This window comes from Homo sapiens, chromosome 6 (assembly GCF_000001405.40).
Source record: "Homo sapiens chromosome 6, GRCh38.p14 Primary Assembly".
Classification (NCBI taxonomy): domain Eukaryota; kingdom Metazoa; phylum Chordata; class Mammalia; order Primates; family Hominidae; genus Homo; species Homo sapiens.
The window spans coordinates 163561217-163587283 of NC_000006.12; the positions used below are offsets into that span (position 1 = coordinate 163561217).

At 36.6% G+C, this 26067-nt stretch overlaps 1 protein-coding gene across 8 annotated transcripts in view, besides 1 other annotated feature; it reads left to right on the forward strand.

Annotated features, from left to right (window-relative positions):
- The window catches only part of QKI (QKI, KH domain containing RNA binding), a 163875-nt gene extending 146499 nt beyond the window's left edge, over positions 1–17376 (forward strand). For 2 of the 8 annotated variants that reach the window (NM_006775.3, XM_011536260.3), the window contains 4 exons: positions 766–853; positions 2204–2503; positions 5505–5579; positions 9478–17376. In NM_006775.3, the coding sequence (NP_006766.1) occupies positions 766–853; positions 2204–2503; positions 5505–5579; positions 9478–9494 (480 nt within the window). In that variant the 3' untranslated portion in view covers positions 9495–17376. Of the gene's footprint in view, positions 1–765; positions 854–2203 lie in introns of all 8 variants that reach the window. The other 6 variants (NM_206853.3, XM_047419566.1, NM_001301085.2 and 3 more) reach the window with 5 other exon arrangements.
- Positions 18001–18295: a silencer, noted in NCBI's record as "tiled region #9625; HepG2 Repressive non-DNase unmatched - State 18:Pol2, and K562 Repressive non-DNase unmatched - State 5:Enh". NCBI's record gives its function as "represses a minimal TATA promoter and a strong SV40 promoter by Sharpr-MPRA in HepG2 and K562 cells {active_cell/tissue: HepG2 | K562}" and the evidence as "EXISTENCE:reporter gene assay evidence [ECO:0000049][PMID:27701403]".

Below are 26067 nucleotides of genomic sequence, written 5' to 3' on the forward strand. Positions count from 1 at the left end.
CTTGTATGTTTAAAATTATTTGTGTGCACATGTGCACGCGCGTGTGTGTATGTGTGTGTTTAACGAACACATTTGAGTTTTGGAATATTCAGCAAAATGATAGTTGCTGGCTGGGTGCAGTGGCTCACACTTGTAAACTTAGCACTTTGGGAGGCTGAAGCAGGAGGATCACTTGAAGCCAGGAGTTTGAGACCAGCCTGGGCTACAAAACGAGACCTTGTCTCTACAAAAAATAAAAAAAATTAGCCAGGCATGGTGGCGCGTGCCTCTAGTCGCAGCTACTTCGGAGGCTGAGGTAGGAGGATGGCTCGAACCTAGGAATTCAAGGTGGCTGTGAGCTAGGATCATGCCACAGCACTCCAGCCTGGGTAACAGAGCAAGACCCTGTATCTAAAAACAATAAAATTAATTAAAGTAATTTTAAAATGATAGATGCTGAAGAGAATATGTTATGTTTAGTCTTATCTCACATTTTCATTCATTTCTATTTAAAAGTAAAGCTTTTTAGGGGAACTTTAATAAATCGGTGTAACTGACAAAAAATTTACAAATACAATATGCTGTATATCAACATGCCTTTACTGAGAAAACAGAGAAAGCAGGCTCCATTATGTTAGCACCTTTTGGTTCTTGATCTTTTTTTCCCCTTATTAAAACAGGTGACTGTAGTCACATGATACTTACTTTAAGGCTTGTGTGTAGATATAGCTATTATATTTGTGGACAGTCTCAAATGCTTTCATCTCATGTGTTTTCCATGTATAGGCAGAAGGAGAAGACAGCCTGAAGAAGATGCAGCTGATGGAGCTTGCGATTCTGAATGGCACCTACAGAGATGCCAACATTAAATCACGTAAGAATGAGCTCTGAGGCCCAGGGTTACTGCTGTCTGCGTTGTTTTGTCTACAGACTTTTTTCCTTTTGGCAACACAATAATAGTTCATACAAAGTGAACAGTTGAAATAACTGTTCTGTCACTTGATATGGGGCTGACAGTCCTATTTTTAATGCTTTCATGAATTGAGGACACTCTTGATTTTATTTTATGTCAGCATGTTGAAGTTTTAGGTTGATAAACTTACATTATTTTAACAAAATCACAATCTCTAAATTCAAGTGTTTAAGAAATTTTCTGTTTGGTTAACTACAGATGTAGGGCTTGCAGCTTATCTTGTTAAATTTATGCAAAAGACAACATATTGAAAGCTTATTTTGAAAAAGTGAATTTGAAGTGTATCTGACTGAAATGACCCTCTGTTGAGTTCTGTCCTTTCACTTTGCTTGCATGTTTTCCCTCTAGTATTTTTCCCTGTTGATTTCATATGTGAGTTCACAGAGATCAGTGGGTGATAACTCTTTTTCCGTCCTATTTTTGTTTTTATGCGTATCTATGCATGTTTTTATAAGCCGTAAGAGGATAGCTTTTTTATGTTTAAAATGAAATAATGTGAAATTTATATTTTGAAACAATTTAAGATTCATACATGTCATTTATATGAACATACCATGTTTAAATTACTGATTATTTAAAACACATAGAATTTTTAAGTTCTAGCCAGATTTAGAAGATGTAGGCAACCTCTAGTGGGTTTAGAAGTAGTTACTTTACAAATTGTTGACATTAATTTACTCATGAAAATGTGAGTATATCATTAATAGGAATTTAGAAGTAGGGCTTTTTAAGATTTTCTGTGACGTTGGTTCCTAAAGATGCAGGAAATGTACATATATACCTAGTGGTTACTTGACTAAATGCAATAAAAATTATTCTTTCTTTACTTTGAAACTAAAGCTGTACTTTAGAAATATACCAAAACTGAGTTTCTGTGGACTCCGGTTACAAATTATTTTTTAACATCTGTTAATGCAAGTGTTTCATTGTGCTTCTGCATGTACTTTAGTCTTATGAAATCTTAGATATATCAAATGTATGAACTAAATATAACCTATTTAATGGTGTCATTCATTTTTTTACAATGGCTTTTTAATTTTTGCACATTCTTAATCACATTGGGAAAGGGAAAGCTGTTTGCATTTGATTGGTGTGCTTTTGCATTTTTGTGTGATCAGCGCATGTACTAATGATTTCCTTTTATTTTTCTTCTTTCCTGCTTTTCCTTTCTTTTTCCTACTCCCTTCTCATTTTTCCGTATTTTATACTGCTGTCTCTATACTTCTTTCTAAATTTCTTTGCTTACTGTAGCAGCCCTTGCCTTTTCTCTTGCAGCAACAGCCCAGGCTGCTCCAAGGATCATTACTGGGCCTGCGCCGGTTCTCCCACCAGCTGCCCTGCGTACTCCTACGCCAGCTGGCCCTACCATAATGCCTTTGATCAGACAAATACAGACCGCTGTCATGCCAAACGGAACTCCTCACCCAACTGCTGCAATAGTTCCTCCAGGGCCCGAAGCTGGTTTAATCTATACACCCTATGAGTACCCCTACACATTGGCACCAGCTACATCAATCCTTGAGTATCCTATTGAACCTAGTGGTGTATTAGGTAAGTTCTTCTCCCCATGGGGTTAACAACATTCTCTTTATAAATATTTTTGCTCCCTCAGATTTTGAAATGATTTTATCAGTTTTAGAGAGGCAAGACAAGTTTGCATTAGGGAAGACCGAAAACTAAATTTTGTTTTATTTCAGCCTCTCATAAGGGTTCCCCTTTGAAATAATTGCACCTTAAATTTATTCAGATCCACTTTGGTAACTGAGGTTCAGTTTGGTTGGGTAAATCTGTTGTGTACATTTCAACAAATACTTTTACATTTGACATTACTGAGGTCATTCTGAGTTTTAGGTCCCACCCCATTGGCCCGTCACCTCCATCAGCTCCACTTCTCAAACTTTATTTGAGATTTATTTTATCTCACAGGTTTGTGTAATTGTTGGAAAATTTTTAAACTTCTAAGTGAAAGTAGTCTGAGCGCTTTATAAAATTCATATTATTGTGTGTGTTTTGTAATATTTGCGATCACTTAAAATATCAGATAAATACAGTCATGCATCGCTTAACAACGGGGATACAGTCTAAGAATTGCCTTGTCTGGCAGTTTCATCATTTGGTGTACATCATAGAGTGTACTTACACAGACATAGATGATATCGTTTACTACACACCTAGGCTGTGTGGTATAGCCATTATAATCTTATGGGACCACATAGTATAAGTGGTCCGTTGTTGACCAAAATGTTGTTATGCAGGCATGACTGTAGTTGTATTCTTAAGATTTTTCAGTTCTTGTGTTTTGGAGTCCTAGTCATATTAAACATGAGAGATACTCTTAATTTCAGTAGTACAGTATGGAATAGTTAAATAAATAGCAAATCACTGAATTCAGAATCTCACTTAAGGCAGAAATTAAAATCATAATATAAACGCTTGGTTTTACATGAACAAAAAGTGGTGTGCTCGAAAAAGACATTACTGATGCCTTTTTTTTATAGAGTGGATTGAAATGCCAGTCATGCCTGATATTTCAGCCCATTGACTTGCTGGATGAAGGACTAGAATACAGCAGCTGTTATAACACGACCAGTCAATGTGGAACAAACTGTTTCTGTGCAACCCCTTTGTTTTACCAGACAAAATTTGAATACTTTTTTTCCTGAATTGTATATGACCTTGGTGCTGCATGCATGCTGTTGACTTTTAGGACTTTGATCTTTTAAGGTTTTTTTTCCCCAGCATTAATATTGATTTATAAAGATTTGAAAATCTTTAATGAACTGGAGAACACTAAGATTTAAACTCGAAAATTCGTTGTTCAAGTAAAGAAAGCCATGATGCTCTGTATGTTATCTGTGTGTGTGCATGCACTCAGGTGCCCTTTGTTTCATGAACAAATACATTTCATTGTACATGTTTTCTGTTTAAATCATTGTATAAAGTAATTGCAGGTCAGAATTATACCACAGAACTGTTTATGAGAGGCTTGTGTCTGTTGCACATTTCTTGAAGCATTTTTAAAATAACATGTAACCTGTAACCTTGTTGTTTAAGTTTTCTTTTCTATTAATACTCTGTCCTGTGGTCCCGTGCATGCTCCTTTTCCCAGAACTCCTCTCTGCTGCACCCACAGCATCTGTTCCCGAGGAGTTATGACTCTTGACTTCCTGCAGGGCTGGGGCTCTTAGCCACCAGCTGCTGTTCCAGCACTTTCAGCGCAAGATCTCCCTGATTTTGCCACGTGGAATTGTACTTGTATATGATTACCTTATCTAAAATGAATAAGAGGTGATGGACCAGTTTACTGCTTAGAAATAGCAAGAGGCACTGCAGTAAAACTTGTTTCTCATTGTAAAGCTTCATGTCTTTTGTTTGTTGGAAAATTTTTACTTATAGAAACTTAATTATTAGACTGGTAAAATAAAGACCAAAATATGCAGATTTCTAATTGGCATTCATAAGGTGAATAATAATAAGTGCCCAATGAAAAAATCTATTATGGTTAATTTCATTTCTTGCTTTGCCACCTAAGCAGTAAAACATGATATTGACCACTTGGAGAACTCAGAAAATTATTTTAAATTTCTAAGTTATAATAAATTTGCACACAGATAACATGCATGCTATTTATGTCACATCTCACATTAAATTATTTTAAAATAAGCAGTGCCCTTCAAAACAGATGCAGACATGTGTGTTGGTAGTAGTGAGGAGATTGGTATTAGCATCAAGTCTTCATTGATGACTAATTTTTAATTCCCTTCCTTTTATCTTTAGGTATGGCTTTCCCAACGAAAGGCTAAGAATTCAAGAACGGTCTTAACTGAACCCTCATCAGATCTGAATTTAACAAATGCTTAGTCTCAGCAGCCTCCGGGGGAAAAAAGCTTAGCCTAGCAGTCAGTGACTTACTTGCACTTTTTGCACATAGATATAAAGTAAAATTATGTTATTAATTTGGTTTAGTCTGTAATATTACACAGTAATGGTAATTTATAAAGGAGTGTATAGTAGTATACTGACTGCTAAGTGTACTATACTGTTTGCTTTACTAATCACCTAATTCATTGCAGTTCATACTTATTGACTCAGAGTTTAAAACCACAATCTGTAGGCTTTAAGAATTGCTTTTAAACCTTTTTAAGTGATAAACTCTTGAAGTGGTCTTAAGGTTAGCAAATAATTGTCTGTATTAAACATGGCGTTATTTAAGTAGTCCTGCTGCAAGAAAGGCACTTCAGTGAATATGTGACTAGTAAAGCTTAAATATGTTTGGATCTAATAGAGCTCATGAAATACTGTAACTTGGGGATTGTAAATGAATGGATACAATAGGTTAAGGCCCAAGATGTTTGAAATGAATGCAATATTAATAGATGCATATATACATGACATATTGTGGTTAATTTTAAAACTACTGTGCCTTAACGTGTTTCTTAAACTTTTGTAGTAAATGAACATTTGAAATCCATTTTGATAAACCTGCTGTTAATGTTTTTTCCCCCCTTGTGAATGTTTTCTAACTTTGTCTTGGTAATTGCAATTTAACTAGGTGCGGTGGCTACTAAAGTTCGAAGGCACGATATGCGTGTCCATCCTTACCAAAGGATTGTGACCGCAGACCGAGGTTAGTTTAGTTCTGCAGTTCTTGTCTATAAGAAATGCGTTGGGTGTCCATAAAATTTGCAACACCACACCTGATGGAAAAATGTAATTGCTTACCTGCACACAGTTTTTTTTCCTTTTCTAAATTTGTTTGTGATCATTGACAGATTTAAGGGTTGGGTTTTTTGTTTTGGTTTGGTTTTTTCTCCCTTCATATTTTAACTTATTAAATCTTCTATTATTATGTACTATGATTTATTCCTACTAAAACATAAATTAGTCAATTTGGGGAGCTATTAAATTTTGATGTTGCCTCAGTTATTTTCATTAATAACTTTTGCTAAAATTTACCTTTTAAAAGTTCTGAAATTTGGGGTTGGTATTGCAAAATGAATTGAACGGATGGTGCTTTAATGAGAGAAGTAAAGGAATATATGCCTCCTGTGTACTTTTGGAGAAAACTGAAGATTTAGTTTCCATTTTTCTTTATAATAAAATATTTGAGCCACTGTATAAACATGAGGGTGCACATGTCAAGTACTTAGCTAAAATCAACAAAGTGAGGACTGTGAAGATAACTTTCATGTAGTTGGATTTTTTTATATAAATTAGAGCGTCAATTCCCTTTTATTCTTACATTCTCTTGCCAAAATGGATCCTTTGATTTTTGTCATTTGCTGCTAAAATATATTATCTGAAGGTAAACTGTCTCTTGAAGTTCTGTGGTGGTATGAGATCCAGCTGTGTGAATATAATTTTTGACTAACCTGTGACTGGAAAATAAGTCTTCATTTTTCTCCTTTACAACTTTTATAATTTGTGTCCTGTATATGCCCTTGGACCCTTTTATAAATTATTTTTGCTTATTGAGGAATGGTATTTTCGGTTTATTGACATTGAATTGTTTTCTAAGTTTTTCCATCACAAGATAGGAATATCAAGCATGGTAGTAAAAAAGGATTTTTTACAAGTTTCTATTATGGCACATTTGTTTCCTACAAATTAAATTGATCAAAGTCTCAAATATTAGTGGAGGAAAAAGTGCTGGATTTGTACTTCAATTGTACATCTTCTATGAATTTATGAAGGACCTACCTGCTTTATGTGATTACCTTGAGTACTGATGATAAATACTAGACACAGCTGTTGTCCACATCAGAAATAACATGCCTTTCCCAAAGACATTGTTAATATTTGTTTAGCATAATCCATAAAGAACGTTGAAGACTTTTAAACTAATGTATTCATCACTAACAGTGATTGTTCAGTGAACAAAATAGACCCCAGCTCCGTGGTCGTCTATGAGGATGGTATTCCTTGTAAGTGTTCTGTATGAGCACGTCTCATAGGGATGGGGAAGTTTTTTGGAAAGTCACTTGAGTTTTAAAGAAACTGGACAATTCCATGAATAATTTGAGGTTTTATTCATATTGCTAATGTCTACAATTGTTCTAAAGAGTATTTTAAAGTAGTTTTTTTCCCCCAGCTAATCTTTCCCTATGTATGCCCCCTTTTAGGAGATTTCTCACCATTTTGCTTTAACACAATAATTATTGGCCTACTTAATACTCCAGTGCCTTGAGATAGTTGGACATATTTTAGGAAGATTTTATTGTATTTGGAAAATTACGACACATTCCATGCATGGATCTTTTGTAGTTACGTGTTTTGATTAGTCCTGTCACTGTTTTTATTTAAAATGCAGTGTCAGCAAACCGAAATGCTCATTTCTTTTTTAGTAACAGAGTACTCGTATACTTATCACTGTATGCACTCATTGGGTCTAAGGGAGATGTCTGAAGTCCTTCACTTAAATTATTTTATGATACTACTGTTTTCTCTATTTTTGAGGTTAAAATTATTTTAAAAAAATATTTTGAAGAGAAGTTTATTAGTATAAGCATTCATTTAATGCAAAAAAACTCAGCCCTTGGACATATAACCATGTAATTCTATATGAACGTTTAGAGTACTACATGGTTGACCAATATCTAGTTCTTTACTAAAAGTAAACTCACCTCTTTATATATATTTCAAAACTGAATTTGAAGCCTATTAGAGACCAACTGACCTTTTAGTTGTAATGAACTGTATGGTCTTGCATGGTGACACACCTGTGTAGGAGGCCAAGACTTGGCAGAGGATGTAGTCTAGGTGTCCTGGTATATATAAATGGTCACTCACTTCGTTTATATATTCCACACTCAGAAAAGAAGTCAGAGTTTTTTCTGAGTAATACAAAAACCATCACTTACATAATTTGTATAAGAAACTTTAAACAGTTTTAATCAAAACTATGAGTAACATCAAAAATGCTTTAAGATTCTATATTTTGGAATACCTGTGAAGTAGTATGACTACATCATGTTAAATATTTATTTTCTTCTATGATTTTGGAGCAGCAATTTTTATTTTAAATAAAATTCCACTTTTAAGAAATTCAGGGAAGATTTGGTCACATTGAAGATACAGTATTTTTGTAGTATTTATAAACTGTTCTAAATGATAGACTATAGAAAACATTTTTGTCATATGAAGGTAAATCAGTCCATTATTTTGGATCATTTAAACTGAACATTACACCTTCTGGGCTTTGATTTATGAAGTGGCACAGAATCTAACTTTGCACTGAATATCTTTTCATTCACATCTCCTCTGCCTTAGTCACAATGGCAACAGTACAGAAAATTCTATCAAACCTCAGAATATAGTAGAAATAATTAAGCTGTTGAATGAGTCTTAAAAATTATACTACTGTTAAGTGGACCAAGTTTGGTGAAGCAGAATGTGACAAAGGTTGATTAAGGAAGGAACAACTCAAGGACATTGGGAATGATAACTTTTCCACTTGAGAACTACTTTATGTTTTACTGTAATTTTTAAAGTTTTTTTGTCCTTTTTGTTATTTTGCAAAAGAAAATAGTATTTACAGGTGGCTTCTTTTAAAATATAAAAATATAAAGCAGGAATGTATATGAAATGTCAGATTTTATTGTATTTGCAGAGTATTAGCTTTGAAATTGAATAAAGAAAGCTGTTTGTAGTTTTAAAATGCCTTATTGGTATCAATTAGAAATTTCTTCTATTTTTTGATGTACTTAGAGCTTTTTGAGTGTAGAATTTTAAATGGCAGGATTTTACAGTGTTTACATGCAAGTGCATTTTATAAGTGTTCTATATGTGTAAAATAGTATTTTCAACTGGAAAGTGTTGGCTAGTGCAAAAGGCCTGGCCATTTTCTGGTTCCCATGATGTTGCCTACACTGCTAGACTACAGTTTAGTATCGCTTTGTATCATGAGGCCAAGAAATTCCATGTTGTTTGTAAATAGAATAATTGAAAAAGCAATAAACATTTATTGAACAAAAGAAACCTTGTTTGGCCCAGAGTTTATGTTGAACCAAATGGTTCATAGAATTTTGAATTTCTTTAGATTCATTTCTGTTAATCATCAGTTATTAATAATCACATCCATCATTAATAGTTGCTTTAATGCTTGCATCTTAGAGAATACTAATGCTTAATAGCAGTCAGATACTGATAACTGCACTGACTGTTTAAAAATTCTGTATACCAAACCTATTCATTGTTGTTTTTCAATTTCCTTCATTGACTGCTACTAACTATTAGTTGTTAGTTGTATTTTATTTCTATTTTTTCTTGTTAACCAGTTTTTTTTTTTTTTTTGTGGGAGTGGGCTCTTCTTCATTTGTTCAAATCATGATACGAAATTGTCATGATTTTAATTGTATTCTGTAGATGGTGTCAATCAGTTTGTCAGAATTAAACATGCTTTTTTTTTTATTAGTTGTGATTAGTTTTTCATGTTGTCATTAAGCCGTCACTAGCTGAAACTAATCTCTTCTCTATCTTTTCTTTTCTTTTTTTTGTTTTGTTTTTTTTTGTTTCTAACCACCCAGCCGCCACCGGCAACTAACCTATGACCTTCTGACCTCTGAACTCTTCACCCAATGATGACCTGACCATGCCTGCCTGCTGATCAGTTAACTGGTAATCGCCTTTGCTTGCCTGTCGTCAGTGCAGCGAGCTGAGGCACTTGTCCGTTCGTCTTACCATCTAACCAAACAAAAGACAAAGAAATTGTTGTCCTCCAACTCAGCTTTTTTTTTTTTTTTTTCCTGTTTGGGTGAAAGTGGTTCTAGAAACTGCACTGAATAGTAGTAAAGCAATAAGGCCCAATTCATCCCACAGCACTGATCATCTTTTAATATCCCACCCTAAGCGAACGGTAAGAAGGCCTCTCTTAAGAAGGGGAGACAGATGGTCCTTAACTACTCAATGACAGAGGCAGTTACTGTGAGAGACTTCTAGGAATCTTTTTCTTCTCATAGCGAAGTCAAAGCTCTCTCTGAATGTACTGTGTGATGATGCATCATGCATGAACCTTCGGTCAGGGATATCATTGGTGAAGTGATTTCAAAAAGTATTCAAAATTTGATATGCTGTTTAGTCACTACAGTGCCCTCAAAGGGCAGAAGTTGCAGCCTTTTTTATATTGCCTGCCAAAATTTGAAGTATTAGAAGAAAGTGTGCCATGAGAGAAAAACTTAAGGAGTTTTGAAAAGTAATGCAAATAACAAAACTGCAACACTATTTTTAAAAAGATAAATATCTGAGTTAAAATTACTGAATCTTTATTTTACACCTAAAAAAATATGAGAACAAGGTACATGCATTATGTGTCACATTACTGGGCAAACTGTTCAAGTATTTTTTTTTAAACCTCCCTGTATAGAAAAAAATCATTAAGGATGTAAAAGCCATGCTTGCCTATTTGCTGTATACATGTAATGAAATTGTAGATAAAGTGTAGTGCATTGAAACAAATGAACAAAAAGTAGATACTTTTACTATACAAGGGTGCTGGTGCAGAAAAAAATATATATATTTTTGGAAATGTAGCATTTTATACTTTCAAGTGTTATAAAAAAAAAGAAAAAGAACAAAGAAACCCTTTATTTCATTAAATGATTTTTTCTGGTGGTTGTCAAGAAACAAAAGACCAAAAGAGCCTTTTTGTCTTTCTTTTTTATTTTTTAAGTATTGGAATAAGTCTAAAGAAAAGAAAGTGCCTTATTTTCCTTCATGGTCATTCAGTCAAGTGTCTCATAAAGATCAGCTCCTCCCTCAGAATACAAGTTAATGCATGTTACTCAGTCGCCCAGTATGTGAAAGAAGATATGAGGGAGACAAATGAGTTGATAGTTTGAATTATAGGATTTTTGCCACGTTACCTTGATGCAAATTTGCCAAATCTGATACTGTGAAAAGATTTGATAACTTTTCTAATGCCTGACTAGTAAGTTTTAAAACATCATTCTTTAAAAGAATAGTTTAATACTTTTGGTTATTCCAATCTTCAATGTTAACCCAAAGGATTCTGAGATAAAAATTATGTGTCATCTAAACTTCAGTTTACAGACAAAATTAGAGCTTTGTTTTATTTGGAGAAGGGGGATGCATTCATTTGATTTTGTTTTTTGTTTTTAATTAATTGAATATAATAGGATACCTAGCAAATGTTTTCACAAAAGTGAATCTTTGTGATTTTCATTCTAGAAAACAATGTTTTAAATCACCCAAATTTAATCACATGTCTTTATATCATACCAGATAACTGGTGTAGTGTATCCTTTTACTGTTTCAATAACCTCTGCCTCCCCCACCCCTTAACTTTAAAAGAATGTGAAAAACTAGCATCATAGTGCATATAAATACTCAACCACATTTCAGCTTAAGCTTCTAATTTCTCAAGAAGTTGAAACAGTTAGTTATGTAGTTGAAGCAATTTGTGTGCAAAGCCTACATCTAAACACTTGAGTGAATAATCATTAACTGCTCAGTACCAGACGTGGCAAATCTCAAGTGACAGTGGACCCCCCCCCCCGCCCAGCTTATCAACTCGTCCCCTCTTCCACACCTTCCCAGCATCACAGTCAGAGGTCAGCAGGAAGCTGAGTCATTACCTTCTTGGTGACCTCCCCCACCATCTTGTCTCACTTGGAAACCGTTGTCAGTTTATTTACTATGCAATAGACATTCATTGTTTTGTATCCAGCTAGCTTTGGTTTAATATGCCACTGCTTTGTCTTTCTGTTACACATACAGTTTTGATTTATTTACAATATATGCTGTGCCATTTTGATTTTTATATTGTTTGGTTGGTTGAATAAATTTGCGACACTCAAACACTTGAGGTGATAGTTGTTAAAAACAATACCAGTATTTGATCCAGTTTCATCTCAACTATGTTATACCTGGACATTTTAGATGTTTATCAAAGGTCTTTTATGGGGAAGAAAGTAAATGTATGAAATAATAAATGTGTGACATTTATAGGGAATGTTGGCTCTGAACAAACTTTTGAAAACTTGGTTGACAAAATTTTGGATCAACTGAAAAAAGCATGACTTTTGAAATCTCTGAATGCCTTGGTTCTCAGTATTATCATTCTTTATTGAATTTATTTCTTATTAAAATATGTAGTTTTTAAGACTTTTTTTCTGACAGTATTATGTAATTTTTTAGCGTGGGTAGATGGGAGTGTCGCTTGTATGTTATCGTACAGCTGACATGTATTTTTGTCTATTCTTTATTATCTTAGTTTCATGCTATGTATGTACCATAACCAACCTATTGCCTATGAGAAACATGTAAGATAATGTATTTACAGCCATTGTTACAAGTTTATAATGTATTTTTCTATCTTGTTTTATATGTATGTTATATAACATTCAAAAAGAATTTTTTTCTTGATTGAGAAAAGGATACAAAATGCAAAATCCACAATTTTGATAACTGAAAATTGCCAATTGTTTTGCAGTACTTTATTATATTGGGTGTCTTGTCTTTTTTGGGCTTTTAGTTAGCTAATGAATGAATACATTAGACACTTTTGGGTTTTAGTTGGGATTTTACATAGCTTGCATTTTAATTCTTTGGTTCTTTGCTGTTTCTATTAACCCACAGCATTATTTTAATAAATGTTATAATACCAACCTACTAACTCTGGACTTTGTCTGTTTATTAACCTTTATATGTTTAATTAAAATAAACAAATAAAGACAAAAGAATGTAAAGTCTTGAGTTACTGGACTAACCCTGAAGAACGTGACCACAGATAACATAGTGTGACTTGTTTTTATGTTGTTTGTCAGCTGACAGTTTTGCACACTACTGTTAAAATGGCTTTGGTTATTCTGGTCTTTTAGCTTGGGGGCCGGGGCGGGTGTGGGTGTAGGTGCAGTAGAGATGGGAACAAAGTAGCCTTTGTTTGAGGCATTCTTCTCTTGCCACTTGCCTTTCAGCATCTGCATTACTAATTCCACACCTTATTTTTCCTTCTCCAAAATAATCACTGTCTGCTCACAGCATCGAGTAAAAAGATACATTGTCATGGTATATACCTGGAGAAACCAGTTTGATTCTTTGTTGAACCATTTCTTTTAATTTCTGTAAATAAGTAATTTTATGGTCACATTGTAAAGCAGAGAAACTGTTGATATTTTACCTTTATTTAGATTTTTGTTTTAACTTGACCTTTTTCCTTTGGAAAGCGTTGAACTTGTTTAGCTAACTACTCCTATTAGGGGAGCTTAACTTGGGTAAAGTCAAAGGCCCACTGGCTGTTTCTCATGGTGGCCTGAAGCCCCGCTGCTTTCCAGTGAGGAAAAGAACCCTCAGCACGTTACTGAGCTTTCCTCAGGTATTTTTTTCTCTGTCACCTACTTTACAAATACAGTCAGACTAAAACATTAAACAAGAAGTTTAAGGGGGAATAACATTGGGATTTGAAAAGTTGTATGTGATTAATTTCTTGCATGCAAATCAATTTAAGATTTCTTAAATATCTTCATGCTTTTCTTGGCTGGAACTTGGGTAAATTAACCTGTAATTATGAATTATTTAGTTTAACTCAAGGTGCATTTTTATTTCACAGATTGATACTTGCTTTTTTCTGTGAAACAGTTCTCCTAGATACCAAAATCCTCAGGATGAATTTTTGCATTTGTAAATAACAATTTATCTTTGTAAATTACATTTTATTTATTTAGAGTTCTAAAATTGAGGGCTGAAATGAATGACATGTAATAGAAGACAAAACTGTACCAATACGCTGTTAACCAATCAGACTGTCCAGGTATTCTCATTTCATAAATATGTATACACACATATAAATACACAGAGTAGTGTTAGCTGATGTGAGTGATAACAGCGAATCACCATTGAGATGGTCATTTGGATCATGTAAACAAACCGTGTCATGTCTCTGATGGGAGCGGTGGGTAGTGTACTGTTAGGTGGACAGGTCTTTTAACATGCTACTATTTGTAAAAGTTTCCGTTGCCATAACAGTTCATGTAGTAGTCTGTGAAAATTCGAAGCTGTCTGTCAAGCTGCTAATATACAAGTTGTCATGGTACCATGTAACTTAAATTGATGAATTTCTATGCAATTTACTATTCTCTGAAGCCTATGAATGCAGCCTCATCTCATTTTCAGTTAAGGGTACTTTATGTATAATTATGTCATTGCTGCCTTTTATGTAGGAAATGTAAAAAAGTTTTAAAAGGCGAAAATAACATTACAGATTTCATTTTTATACAGGTTACAATATTAAACATGAAACTACCAAATTCCAAGAATAGTAAAATTCTAGAGTCAGTTGATTGATTGAAACTATTTGACAAAACAGTTGAAAGCTGAGCTTTCAGTCAAGAAGTTGGTGAAATTAATGTCCTTAAACTTTTCCTTTAGGCAAAATGTCAGGGAAAACTTAACATGAAAGTAGTTACTCCCATACGCACCAGTGCAGTAGCTCCAGGTGTAAGAGGTCACGAAGGCACCCTGCCCATAAAACCAGGATGTGCATACGTACACACAATCGGTGTCTGGTTATGGTTTTCTAAACACTACATAAGGATCTGAATTTTTTAGTGTGCCAAAAGCAAACGATAGGTTTAAATGAAATTGCTCACTACCAAATCAAGACTCTTCATATATATACGTGTGTGTATATATATATGTCATAACACTTTCACGTGTGACAGCCTAAGGTTTCTTTAGTTTTAGGATGGGGTGGGGTGGGAGTGGTTTTGCATGTTTGACCAGGATGTGATGCCTGTCTTTATTCCTTGATAAGAAGTAGCTGTTACAGCATTTCAAGCAAATTATTTTAGGTAGAATAGAACTTACTGCCAAATGATTATTTATTTAGCAAAAATTATTCTCCAACTTTTCGAATTCACAATTTTTCTAAGTGCATAGAGTAGTTTTTTACATTGTCACGAATTCCTTAATACCTTTATTTAAAATGGAAAAAATATGGACAATATTTTAGAAATATGTGCTACACATCTAATTTTATCTGTAGTTTAAGTGATCTAAATTGAGATGCCTTTGATATGAAGAGATTTACCAACATTATATGCACTCGTGCCTTCAATGTGGAATCAAACTGGTTAACCTCAGCACAGTCCTCTCGTTTCTGTGTTTCTGCTGCACTAATTGCCAGGGGGTGGGGGAGAAGGCGAATGAATTAATTCATAGTAGAAGGAGGCGATAGGTGCAGCAAAGGGCAGCCACAGTGTTGATTCCACATTATAATGTTGTTGCCTCTTCTTGGCAAAAGACACCACATTGTGGGAAGATCTCAGCTTCCAGGGTAAAAGTTAATTTATAACTTAAAAGTGCTATTAAGTTTTTATTACCAAATATATCTTTTATGGTTTATATTGTAGTGGTATGTATGAAACATTTAAAATTTTACTGTGGAAATTGTGTATATATATATATATAGTCGAAATAGGTGTTCACAGGTCACATGTGAACGGAGAACTGCATGACCGTACATGAAATGCAATAAACCAACTGGAAAAAGTGCATGTGCTTCATCCTCTCAAGCCAACTGCAGCTGGAAAGTGCTGCTTATCCTCCACCCCCAGAAAATGCATGTATCAATATGAGAATAAAGAACGCACACTTTCAATTTTATTGAGGCTTTCAACACTATTTAAAAGAAAATGTAAGAATTTGACATTCTGGAGTTATTATAACATTAGAAAATGAGCATAACATTCACTCTGATTTTAGCCATTAAGGGAGATTAGTAAACAGACTGCTACAGTGTTCCATAGTTGGACTGTGCATCCAAAACATTTTTTTATCTTTAATAAATGGTACAGTTTTTATGTAGTTTTCGAATGTAAGAAGAAAGGAATGCTGACCAAAACTTGATTTCATCAGCTTCATGAAAAGGACTAGTGTCATTAACCTGTTGAACAGAATTGGTTTATTAAAAAAATCATTTCCAGTAGTGTGAAACCTTTACGAGTCTTTAACATCTAAATGTTATGACTCCTTGTACCTTAAGTTTTCCAGTCTTTCTTATTTATATCATCTCCAAGTACCTCTGGCTCCTTTCCTCTTGCTCACCGGAACCTTAGTTTTCCTCAACAGAATGCTTTGTTAAAGTAGCCCACAGTTGCAGGATCCATAGCACCGTCGTGCAGACTAGCAGCCCAAAGGTGTGTTTGGTTTGGCTTATACGGTGTTTTGCTTTTTAAACTACTTGCCATAATTTAAAAGTGGCAACACTAGACTTAAAAAAAAAAAAGTCTGATTGCCCATATTAGATTTTTTTTTTAATTCTTCACAAAATCTGCTCTTCCTGAAAGATCAAAGTGTCTAGAAAGCCCAAACATGTATTCTTAACATAGTAGGCACCAGCTGAAACTGAGTAATTAAACGGTCCCCTGAAGCCAAGTATTCCCTGGTTAGTCGCCACCCCACCACTCCTTCCTGTCTCTAGTGTCACACTTGGGCTGTTGATTTTCTTACTCTTCTCTTGCTTTAATCCTTCCCCCCGGCTCTCTGGCTCCTGTGGATATCTGTGCTTGTTTCCTGGTCCAGGATGGTGATCTGACTTTCAAACCAGCTTCTCAAAAGGGGTGACATAAAATCAGTTTTGATGTTTTTCCTCCTGAAAAATCAGATGAATATTTTAGTCACTGTTACTCATGCACATTGTGTTCTTATGTTTACAGAAGTGCTTAAGTGAATGGAAGCACTAGACATTTGGATTTCCTTCCTAACGTAATTTTTAATGATTACCCCTTTTATACAGTAATTTGTGGTCTTTAGAAAGCAGTTAAACTAATTGACCATCTAATAGTTGTACTATACATATGTCTAAAATAATAGTCATGGTAAGTTTGGCATCATATCTTCCCCAAAAAATGTTTATTAAAATTAGATTATTCCAGTTTAATGCTATTTTGTGAACTGTATACCCTCTGAAAGCGCTTATTTTTACATGCTACACAACAGTTCCAATTTTAAGGAGTGTCTCCTAAAATTGGGATGAAAATCTACTGTAGTCTGTTTTAAAGTATGCTATACTATGTTCATTGGTTACTTAACTGGATATTAATATAAAGGTTATTACAAGAAAAATGATGAAGAGCAAAAGGAGAAGAAAATATTTGCAAGTGAATCCACAATTCTTGCAGAACTATTTGAGTTGATACTAAAGATTTTATGTTCACTCCTTTACCTTAGAACTGTCAAGCTTGGGAATGAGGAAAGTGCCTTGGCTGTGCTTGAAACCTGAATTTTAGTGCTTCCCTTATTACATTCATTGTTTTCAATGATTGATTTATAAAATTAAGACATACTGGTAGTACAAGTTGAAAGTTGGTTTGAATACATTTTAATTAAATGATAATATGTTAATATGCTTTTGTTCATTGCTTTCTCACTGAGGTAAAACAGCATTAAAAAGTTGTCCAGAATTTAAACTGACTCTAGATTTCTAGATTCCTAGGTGGCGGGAAAATGTAAAACTTTAAAGCTCATGAGCGGAACGCAATGCAAGTCCTGAAACTAAGAGTTAAATGTGAGTCTCAGGGAAAAAAGCTAGATTAGCAAATCAAACATACATATGCCTCATCCAGAACATCATTCAGGCATCAGTTCGGGGGCTACTAGCAGTAAAGTTGGTTTTAAATGAAATAAAGTGGAAAAGTTTGATATCACTTCCAGAAGTGGTCTGTCATCAGTAAGTATTGGTGTTGAGTCTAAAATGAATTAGAAACCTCCCGTTACTCTTAGGATTAAAGCAACCCGGTATGGAGAGAAATGAAAGAAAAAATGTAGTGTTAGCTTGACTTTATGTCCCTTTCACTGAATTCCATATGAGCCTATTTGGCAGAGAAATTTTGTACTCTACAAGGAAAACATCACTGATGTGGACAGCACCAATAATGTACGTCCCATTAAGCTAATAAATACCCAGACGGCCGTGTGAATACCTTGAATTCTTCAGAGAAGTGTGTTAGTGCGTTTAGTGTTGCTATAGCAGAACGCCTGAGGCTGGGTAATGATGAAAAAAGGTTTATTTGGCCCACATTTCTGGTGGCTGGAAAGTTCAAGATTGGGCAGCTGCATCTGGTGACAGCCTCATGCTGCTTTAACTCATGGTGTAAAGCCAAAGGGGAGTGTGGACCAGGTGCACAGAGATCACAAGGCAAGAGAAAGCAAGAGGAGGCCAGACTCAACCCAGTCTCCTAGGAACTCATGCATCCCTGCAAGAGGGAAAACGCCCCATCCCGAGGGCGGCCGTTAACCTATTCATGAGGGATCCGCCTCAGTAACCCACGCACTTTCTATCAGCCCCCACCTCCCAACACTTCCACACTGGGGATCAAATTTCAACAGGAGTTTTCCTGGGGACAGACTCCACCCAAACCACAGCAAAATGTGTGACCCAGTTTTTCTAAAATGCTTGTTACAATTTGCTAAAGAATCACCACCACCATCCTTAGCTCCATCCTAGAGAGGATGTAACAAAGAAAAGTTATTGAACCAGAAAGCTGAGTGTCCAGCCCGATCTAAAAGAAGTAAGCCAGGTGCAAGGGCTCGGCCAAGGCGGGTGGATCACCTTAGTTTTATCTATGGAACCCCACATTTAAGTACATACGCAGTGAACTGGGAATAGTTCATGTTATTAAGGGAAATATTGGGACGCTCCTGCTTTCCTTACCACTTTCTCCCCTCAGTTCAAAGAGGAGTACTGCTGCCTTCAAAACGGCATTGAACAGAGCTAATGGAAAAGAAAAATAGAGACAGATGTAAATTTAGTCTAAATACGAACTTGAAAAATGAAGTTGGATACCACACCCCCTCCCATTTCTTAAGTATTTTTTCATTTGTCATTCTTCTAAAGCCAAAGGTGATAAAAGTCATGCCTGCTGTGAGATCTGTATCTATTCCAGCAGGTTGATTGCCAAGAATTTGGTAATAGTGTCAACATGAGCCTTCTTGCTGAGCGCCCTCAGCAGGCTGTGAGGAATGCCTGAAGAGTTTTATGCACAGGAGGCTCTCGTGCCACTCCTTTTCAGTTTGAATTACTACCTGTTTCTCATGAATATTTCTTAAAAGTAGAAACTGTAGAATTCTGTAATGGAATTAAAATACAGAAATACCAGAGGAAAAAATTGTAGGCCACATATAGAAAAGGGTTGTTGTGTTACCCTATTGTATATCAATGGCTATAAAAATCAAATATTAGGGGGATAAAAAGCACTAGAAAGCACCCCAACAGACATCACGCATGCTTTGCACTTGCAGGTTACTCATATTGATGAATTAGCACCACCGTCAAATTTCTGAGTGCTTAATTGGTGTTAATTAAATGATGCAATCAGTATTTCTGTGTATATCAAAATGTACGAAAACCAAACTTGTGCCTCAAATTTATGTTAGTCAGATATGGTAAAGTGGTGTAATAGAATAGATGAATCTCTTACAATGAGAAATCAAGGGGGATCAGCATACCTTGAGTACATGTTCTCAAAAATACTCCCTTAGTGACCTGCTGGGCAGAAATTGCTATTGTAACCGGCAAGCTTCAAATACGTGGTCTGGGTAGACAGTAAAGCCAGGATATTTTAACGGAAGACATCTTTTATTCTACAATTTTAGCCTCTTAGACAAAATGTCCAAGTGTTTTACTCCCACCTCTCTTTAAGTTACGCTCTTCAACATCTCTAAGGAATTTAAAAGTAAAATATTTGTGAGAAGCCACGAGTCAAGAACTATAACTTGATAAGTATACATGAGTGTGCTATTTTTGTTTTGTTTTGTTCTTTGTTTTCTTTTTCTCTCAGAGCAATATAGGCTTGCTTTCCACAGTTGCACTAGGGACTGACTGTCAAAAGCATCCAAGTATCTAAATGGTTGGTGTATTGCAAAGCACACTGGAAAACAGAACCTGCTCCTGAGGAGTGTATGTGTTTTTCAGTAGGGCTATAAACTCTATGGTCATTAACCAAATGAAGATTTCAGTTCTGCATGTGTATTATGCCAGGTTGAATTGGCATATGTGTACTTATGGAGACAAGTTATCTTTAGCAAGGCTGCTGGCCATGTCAGTTTTTTGTCTGTTTTCTTTCATCATAGGAAACATCCCAAACTACTACAGATTATTTTTTGTTTTGTTTTTTAAACACTGGTCATTCTGGTGAAGTTTTTTGTTGTTGTTAAGCTAATTTTTTTTCCATTGTATATGTGCTTCCACTTTGTGGACACAGTAAATTTCACCTAAGTTATTTCATATCACAGAAAATTTAATAGGGGTTGATGATTAAGGAAGTAGATTTAAAATATATAGGAATTTTGAGACTGAACTGTCAATTGTTTCAATAGACAAATCCAATTTAGAACTCATGCTGATTTTTTAAAATTCCAAATACGAGTCAAAGAACTTTCAAAATAACGAAGTGATTTTATTCATTCAAGCAGTATTTATGTGCTAAAGTGATTGGGCTGAATACCATGCCTGGCCTCTGGGTAGACAAGAGTGAAGATACCATTCCTGCTTCAAACAGCTCACAGTCCCAGGTTAGAGAGAGAAATGGAATATAAAAGTAGTATGAGGATTATACAGCAGAATTCCAAGCCCCAGTTTTATGCAGAACATCGAGTAAATGATTCTTTTCTGTGAAGACAGGAGCTAAATGTTTCACAGTATGTTCATTTCAGAATGATGGCTAAACTTTAGTAGAAAGTCTTGCTTCTTGGTATAGTCATATTTGAAGTAATCTTATTCCTTGATATCATATTGATTTATGACTTCCCAAAAATATTTTTTGAAAGCCACTATGTTTTGGCTGTTGGGTTCCCAGGAGGAATTACCATTTATTTTCACCCATCTTTGGCTGCTGCTGAGAAAGACTTTTCTCCAGCCCTGGTACCTCTCCCTTTAGGCTTTCCTGGGCGCTTTCTTTGGATCCAAAGCCAAGTCCTAGTGTGATGTATCCCTAAGGGTACAATCCTCATAGTCCTAGTACTAAAGCCATTGCCAGTCTCAAAGTCTTTCATATTCCCATGAGATACCATTTAACATTGAAATTCAACCACTGTCCTTTAATCCTTTTACTATGGTCTTGTCTGAGAAGGATTTTATCTAAAAATAGTAGCTTTGCACTTAATCTCTGCAGTCTATATAAATTTAGGATAACATTCCTCTTCCTTCAGACTGTTTGTCCTTTCGTTGGTGTGAAAGTATACAGAGTACCCTTGAAGGTGGGAGCGCCATGGTGTTTTTCCTTGAGTTTCCTATCGCTAATGTTTAATTGCAATTGGAATGGAAGTGCTCAATAAATATTTGTTGAGTGAATAAATGCCACTATATCCTGTTTCCTACCTGTCCCTAGAGAATTGTCAAGTCAACTGATAGACTTAGCCCTGATATTGGTGTCGAAGCCAGTTGGCTGGCTGGAAGGCCGGTGAAGGCAGCAAGTCGCTCACAGGTTCTAAAGTGCACCAGAGCCTGGTTCGTGCATGTTATCAAGGCCGTGCCAGCGCTGGCTGTCCCATCGTCAGCTCTTCCATCTGCAAAAGTGAAACTGTACTCCTTACTCATATTTTAATCTTCAAGACGGAAGATTAATTGATATTCACTTTAAGCATATATCTATATTAAGTTATTGTGGGAGAGGCAGGGTATAGAAAATGGTTTAGTCCAGTTTCCATATCTGAGAGATAACCCAGGATCTTTTTGTAAGCATCAAAAATTAAACGATGTAGAATATTAAAAATTGATCAAAAGCCCTTAGAAGTGAAAGCAGTTTTGTTGATCATAAGAACTAACACTCTGTTGATTACAGATGAGAAATCAGATGCCCAGAGAGATATATCGGGAAATGATATCCATAAGTTCGTATACGTGGTTGACAGATTGGGAATAGAATCTCCTGTGTCAAACCCTTGCCACATGCTGAGAGTTGGCATCCTCTCAGCAGAACCTTCTACACGGAAAGGCATGGTTTTCTTCCTGGGCTCTGGATTCATTAACTTGTGGCTCTCTACTGTACTAACACCTCCGCACTTTATAACTGTTTCAGGCGGTATTTGCTAAAAGAAAGAAAAAACACTGCAAACAAAAAGGCACCTTTCCAGGCCAGGCGCGGTGGCTCATGCCTGTAATCCCAGCACTTTGGGAGGCCGAGGTGGGTGGATCACGAGGTCAGGAATTCAACATCAGCCTGGCCAAGATGGTGAAACCCCGTCTCTACTAAAAATACAAAAATTAGCTGAGCGTAGTGGTGGGCACCTGTAATCCCAGCTACTCGGGAGGCTGAGGCAGGTGAATCGCTTGAACCTGGGAGGCAGAGGTTGCAGTGAGTCGAGATCGTGCCACTGCACTCCAGCCTGGGAGACAGAGCGAGACTCCGTCTCAAAAAAAAAGGCACCTTTCCAAAAATGTGTCTTTTGGAATTCCACTATTTTGGAGGTCACACAGAAAGTGTCCGGCCTCAGAAGGGTGAAGTGGGAGCTCGCTCTTCCCGTTTCTCAAATGTGCTTGGCCTGGGAGAGGTGCCTGATAAATAGCATCTGAGTGAGTGATGGGCCTGCCTGAACTTCCGTCACTTCCTGTCAATTACTGCGATGGCCACACCCACATTCCCACCTCTGGTCCCAAGTCCATTCATCTTCATGCTTTCCGCAAACTCTTGCACAACTGACAAAATTCCCTCCATCATTGTATGACCCTGCCAAATGCCATATCCATTCTTTTTTCTCCACAAAGGAGAAAGGTAAGGAGAAGAAAGGGGTACATTGAGAGGCCTGGCTCCTGCCAAAACTCGGGGTCAGGTGGGCTCCCCACAAGAGGGCTTCCCAGAGGTTTTCCAATCATGGTACACTTGCAGAATCATATTTGAATGGGTGACTGGGGTCAACTGATGAGGCTGCTCATAGCTGGAGGCAGCCGCTCAGGGCTTAGCAGCAGACTGAACATTTCAGATGCATTTGGAATCCATTCCCTTCGTGCCAGAGCTGGGGAATGGGACAGCAGGACCCCCGCCACTCTGTGGAAAGGTAGCATCAGAGGTGACTGCACCAAAGTTGAATATAGTTGTAAAGCTGGGATTGTTCCCTATTACTGTATAGAACAATATGACAAATGTCACGTATTTCATTACTTAAGATTACAAACTATTTTAGTGACTAGGAAGTGATGCTAATCTATATCTTTTTTCTATCAAGACATAAGGTACTATCTACGAGATGTGAGTTTTAGTCTTCTTGGTATCCAACGTGTAAGTTCCATTCATAAATCATCATTCACCTACTTAATGACTCATAGCAGTAGAACATTTTATCAAGAGTTGACCTCTGGAAAATCATTTTACACCACTGTACACATTGATGAGAAAGCTATAGCGTACTGAAGATTTAGAACATTCTGAGTGTAGTAAGACGAGTGTTTTTTCTCCCTTTGACTGGCAGTGATAATGTTCACGTTATCAGGTATTTGAAGGACTATTTGGGTCAACTAATTATTTGATCCCTACCTACTACAAATCTCCTTTTCAAGGGATATGGATTATGGATTGGAGATTTCCACTTGGTATCAATGATGCTGAAATAACTAGGGTTTTTTTTTTCTTTTTTCCCTAGTAACTTCATTTACCATTGAATTTTGTGGGATTTCAGTTTATTTGAAGCTAGCATTATCTGATTCTCTTCCCGCAGAACTTAGTTCCCTATGGATTATATGACCTGGCATAGTAATCAGGGGGGTTCTTATTTCACTCTATTCAATGTTCTGTCGACTGACAATTTATTTAGTCCTAGTGGAGGCATTCATACTAATGCTTTCATCACACAACTGTGACTCTGCTGGGCCTGTGCACTTTAAAATCCAACTTACATCCAACGTGGGTTTCTCCAAATGGTGTAGCGGCTATCTAAACATAACTGAAATTTCTACTATTAGAACACTATATCACATCTAAATTGAGGCTTAGACCACAAACTTTTGTTTATTTAACCCAAAAATCATTCATAACAATAATTACTAGGGAATACAAATGCCTGTTCTCTAAAACAAAATTTAAAAACCATCTTACTGCTAATATTTGAAATTACTTACAGAATACTAAAAAAGCACACTACCAAATACGTGTCTCACAATTTTTGCCTTAAAAAGTTTTCGGGCTTCTAGTGGGAGTCCTACAGTTGTTTTAACAACAACAAAAATCAATTGATCTTGACTTGCTTTCATTGATAAATCTTTGAAAAGTATAGACTTAGATTAGGACTGAGAGAATTGAAATACAGTGGCCCCTTCTTATATATAGGGGATACATTTTCAGACTCCCAGTGGATGACTGAAACCATAGATAGCACAGAACCTGATTACGTTATGTTTTTTCTTTTTTCTATTTTGAGACAGAGTCTCACTGCTGGTGCAATCTCGGCTCACTGCAACCTCCACCTCCCGAATTCAAGCAATTCTCCTGCCTCAGACCCCCAAATAGCTGGGATTACAGGCATGTGCCACCACGCCCAGCTAATTTTTTGTATTTTTAGTAGAGACAGGGTTTCACCATGTTGGCCAGGCTGGTCTCGAACTCCTGTCCTCAAGTGATCCACCCGCCTCGGCCTCCCAAAGTGCTGGAATTACAAGCATGAGCCACCACACCCCGGCAATGTTTTTTCTTATATATTTGTACCTATGATAAGCTTTCACTTTTTCACTTAAAGGCAGCACTTACAATTCTCTTTGTCCCGTCTGAATTGCAAGCATCACTGCTCTTGCGCTTTGGGTCCATTATAAGTAAAATAAGGATGACTTGAACACAGGAAGTTAATCTGATAACTAAGACGGCTGCCAAGTGACTGCTGGGGGCCGGGGAGGTGTCTACAGCAAGGATATGCTGGACAGAGGGATGACTCATGTCCCAGGCGGAAAGGCACAAGATTTCATCACACTACTCAGAATAGCTTGAAATTTAAAACTTAAGAAAGGTTTATTTCTGGAACTGTCCATTTAATATTTTTCTAACATAGTTGACCTTAGGTAACCGAAACTTCAGAAAGGGAAATGTGAATAAGGGGGCACTATTGTAATCTAGCTTTAACCACTTTTCAGTAATCAAGAGGTGCACAGTATAGATTGAATGTGCATCACTCAGCACAAGGCGTCTAGTGAGAAACTGCAATGATGATGTCGATGACTTTACTGCGTGTGCTCTCCTGGGAATGATGGTCTTGGTTATCACTCAGAAACACTAGCAAACGGGGAAGTGAGGATCTTTAAGAAAAGCTGATTCTCACAATTCCTCTGGGGAGGTTTGTACCATGACTTAGAATCCTATCTCCCTATATATGATGTTTGGTTTTCTCCTCTACCTAGGAAGGGGAGAAGTACTTGAAGTTATCTTCTTGAGTTCTCAATTCCTAAGTCATACTTGGTAGTGTGATTTTGGCCATCAGTGTATGATTTTAAGTATTAGGAATAAGGCCCCACCACCACCCCAACACACTTTTAAATAATAAGACGTTCAGGCCAGGCATGGTGGCTCACGCCTGTAATCCCAGGCACTTTGGGAGGCCTGGCCTCACTTGAGGCCAGGAGTTCGAGACTAGCCTGGCCAACATGGCGAAACCCCATCTCTACTAAAAATACAAAAACTAACAAGGCATGGTGGTGGACGCCTGTAATCCCAGCTACTTGGGAGGCTGAGGCAGGAGAATCGCCTGAACCCGGGAGGCGGAGGTTGCAGTGAGCCAAGATCACGCCACTACACTCCAGCCTGGGCAACAGAGCAAAATTCCGCCAAAAAAACACAAAACAAACGAACAAAAACCAGGAGCTTGCCGTCTAGGCAGCAGCCCACAGAGCAGTAGCTCCCACACTCCAAGCCCCAGACCTGCCTGGAAAGACCTGGGAATAGACCTTGAAGATCTGAGGGTTTACCCTAGTGTGAAACCCCGTTCTGTGCCTGGCCACAGTTATGTCTGGAGGCCAGTGTGGCCAAATAGTAACATTTTAACCACAGGGAGTACAGACAGAAAGGGAGGCTTTCCCTCTGTGCGCCCCCCGGCTGCCCTTTCTCCTGTCCAGCAGAACAGGTTTGAGCTTTTATCATTATTCCAAAAAAATTAATATTTTTGAAGAAGTAGGAAAGTACTTGTAC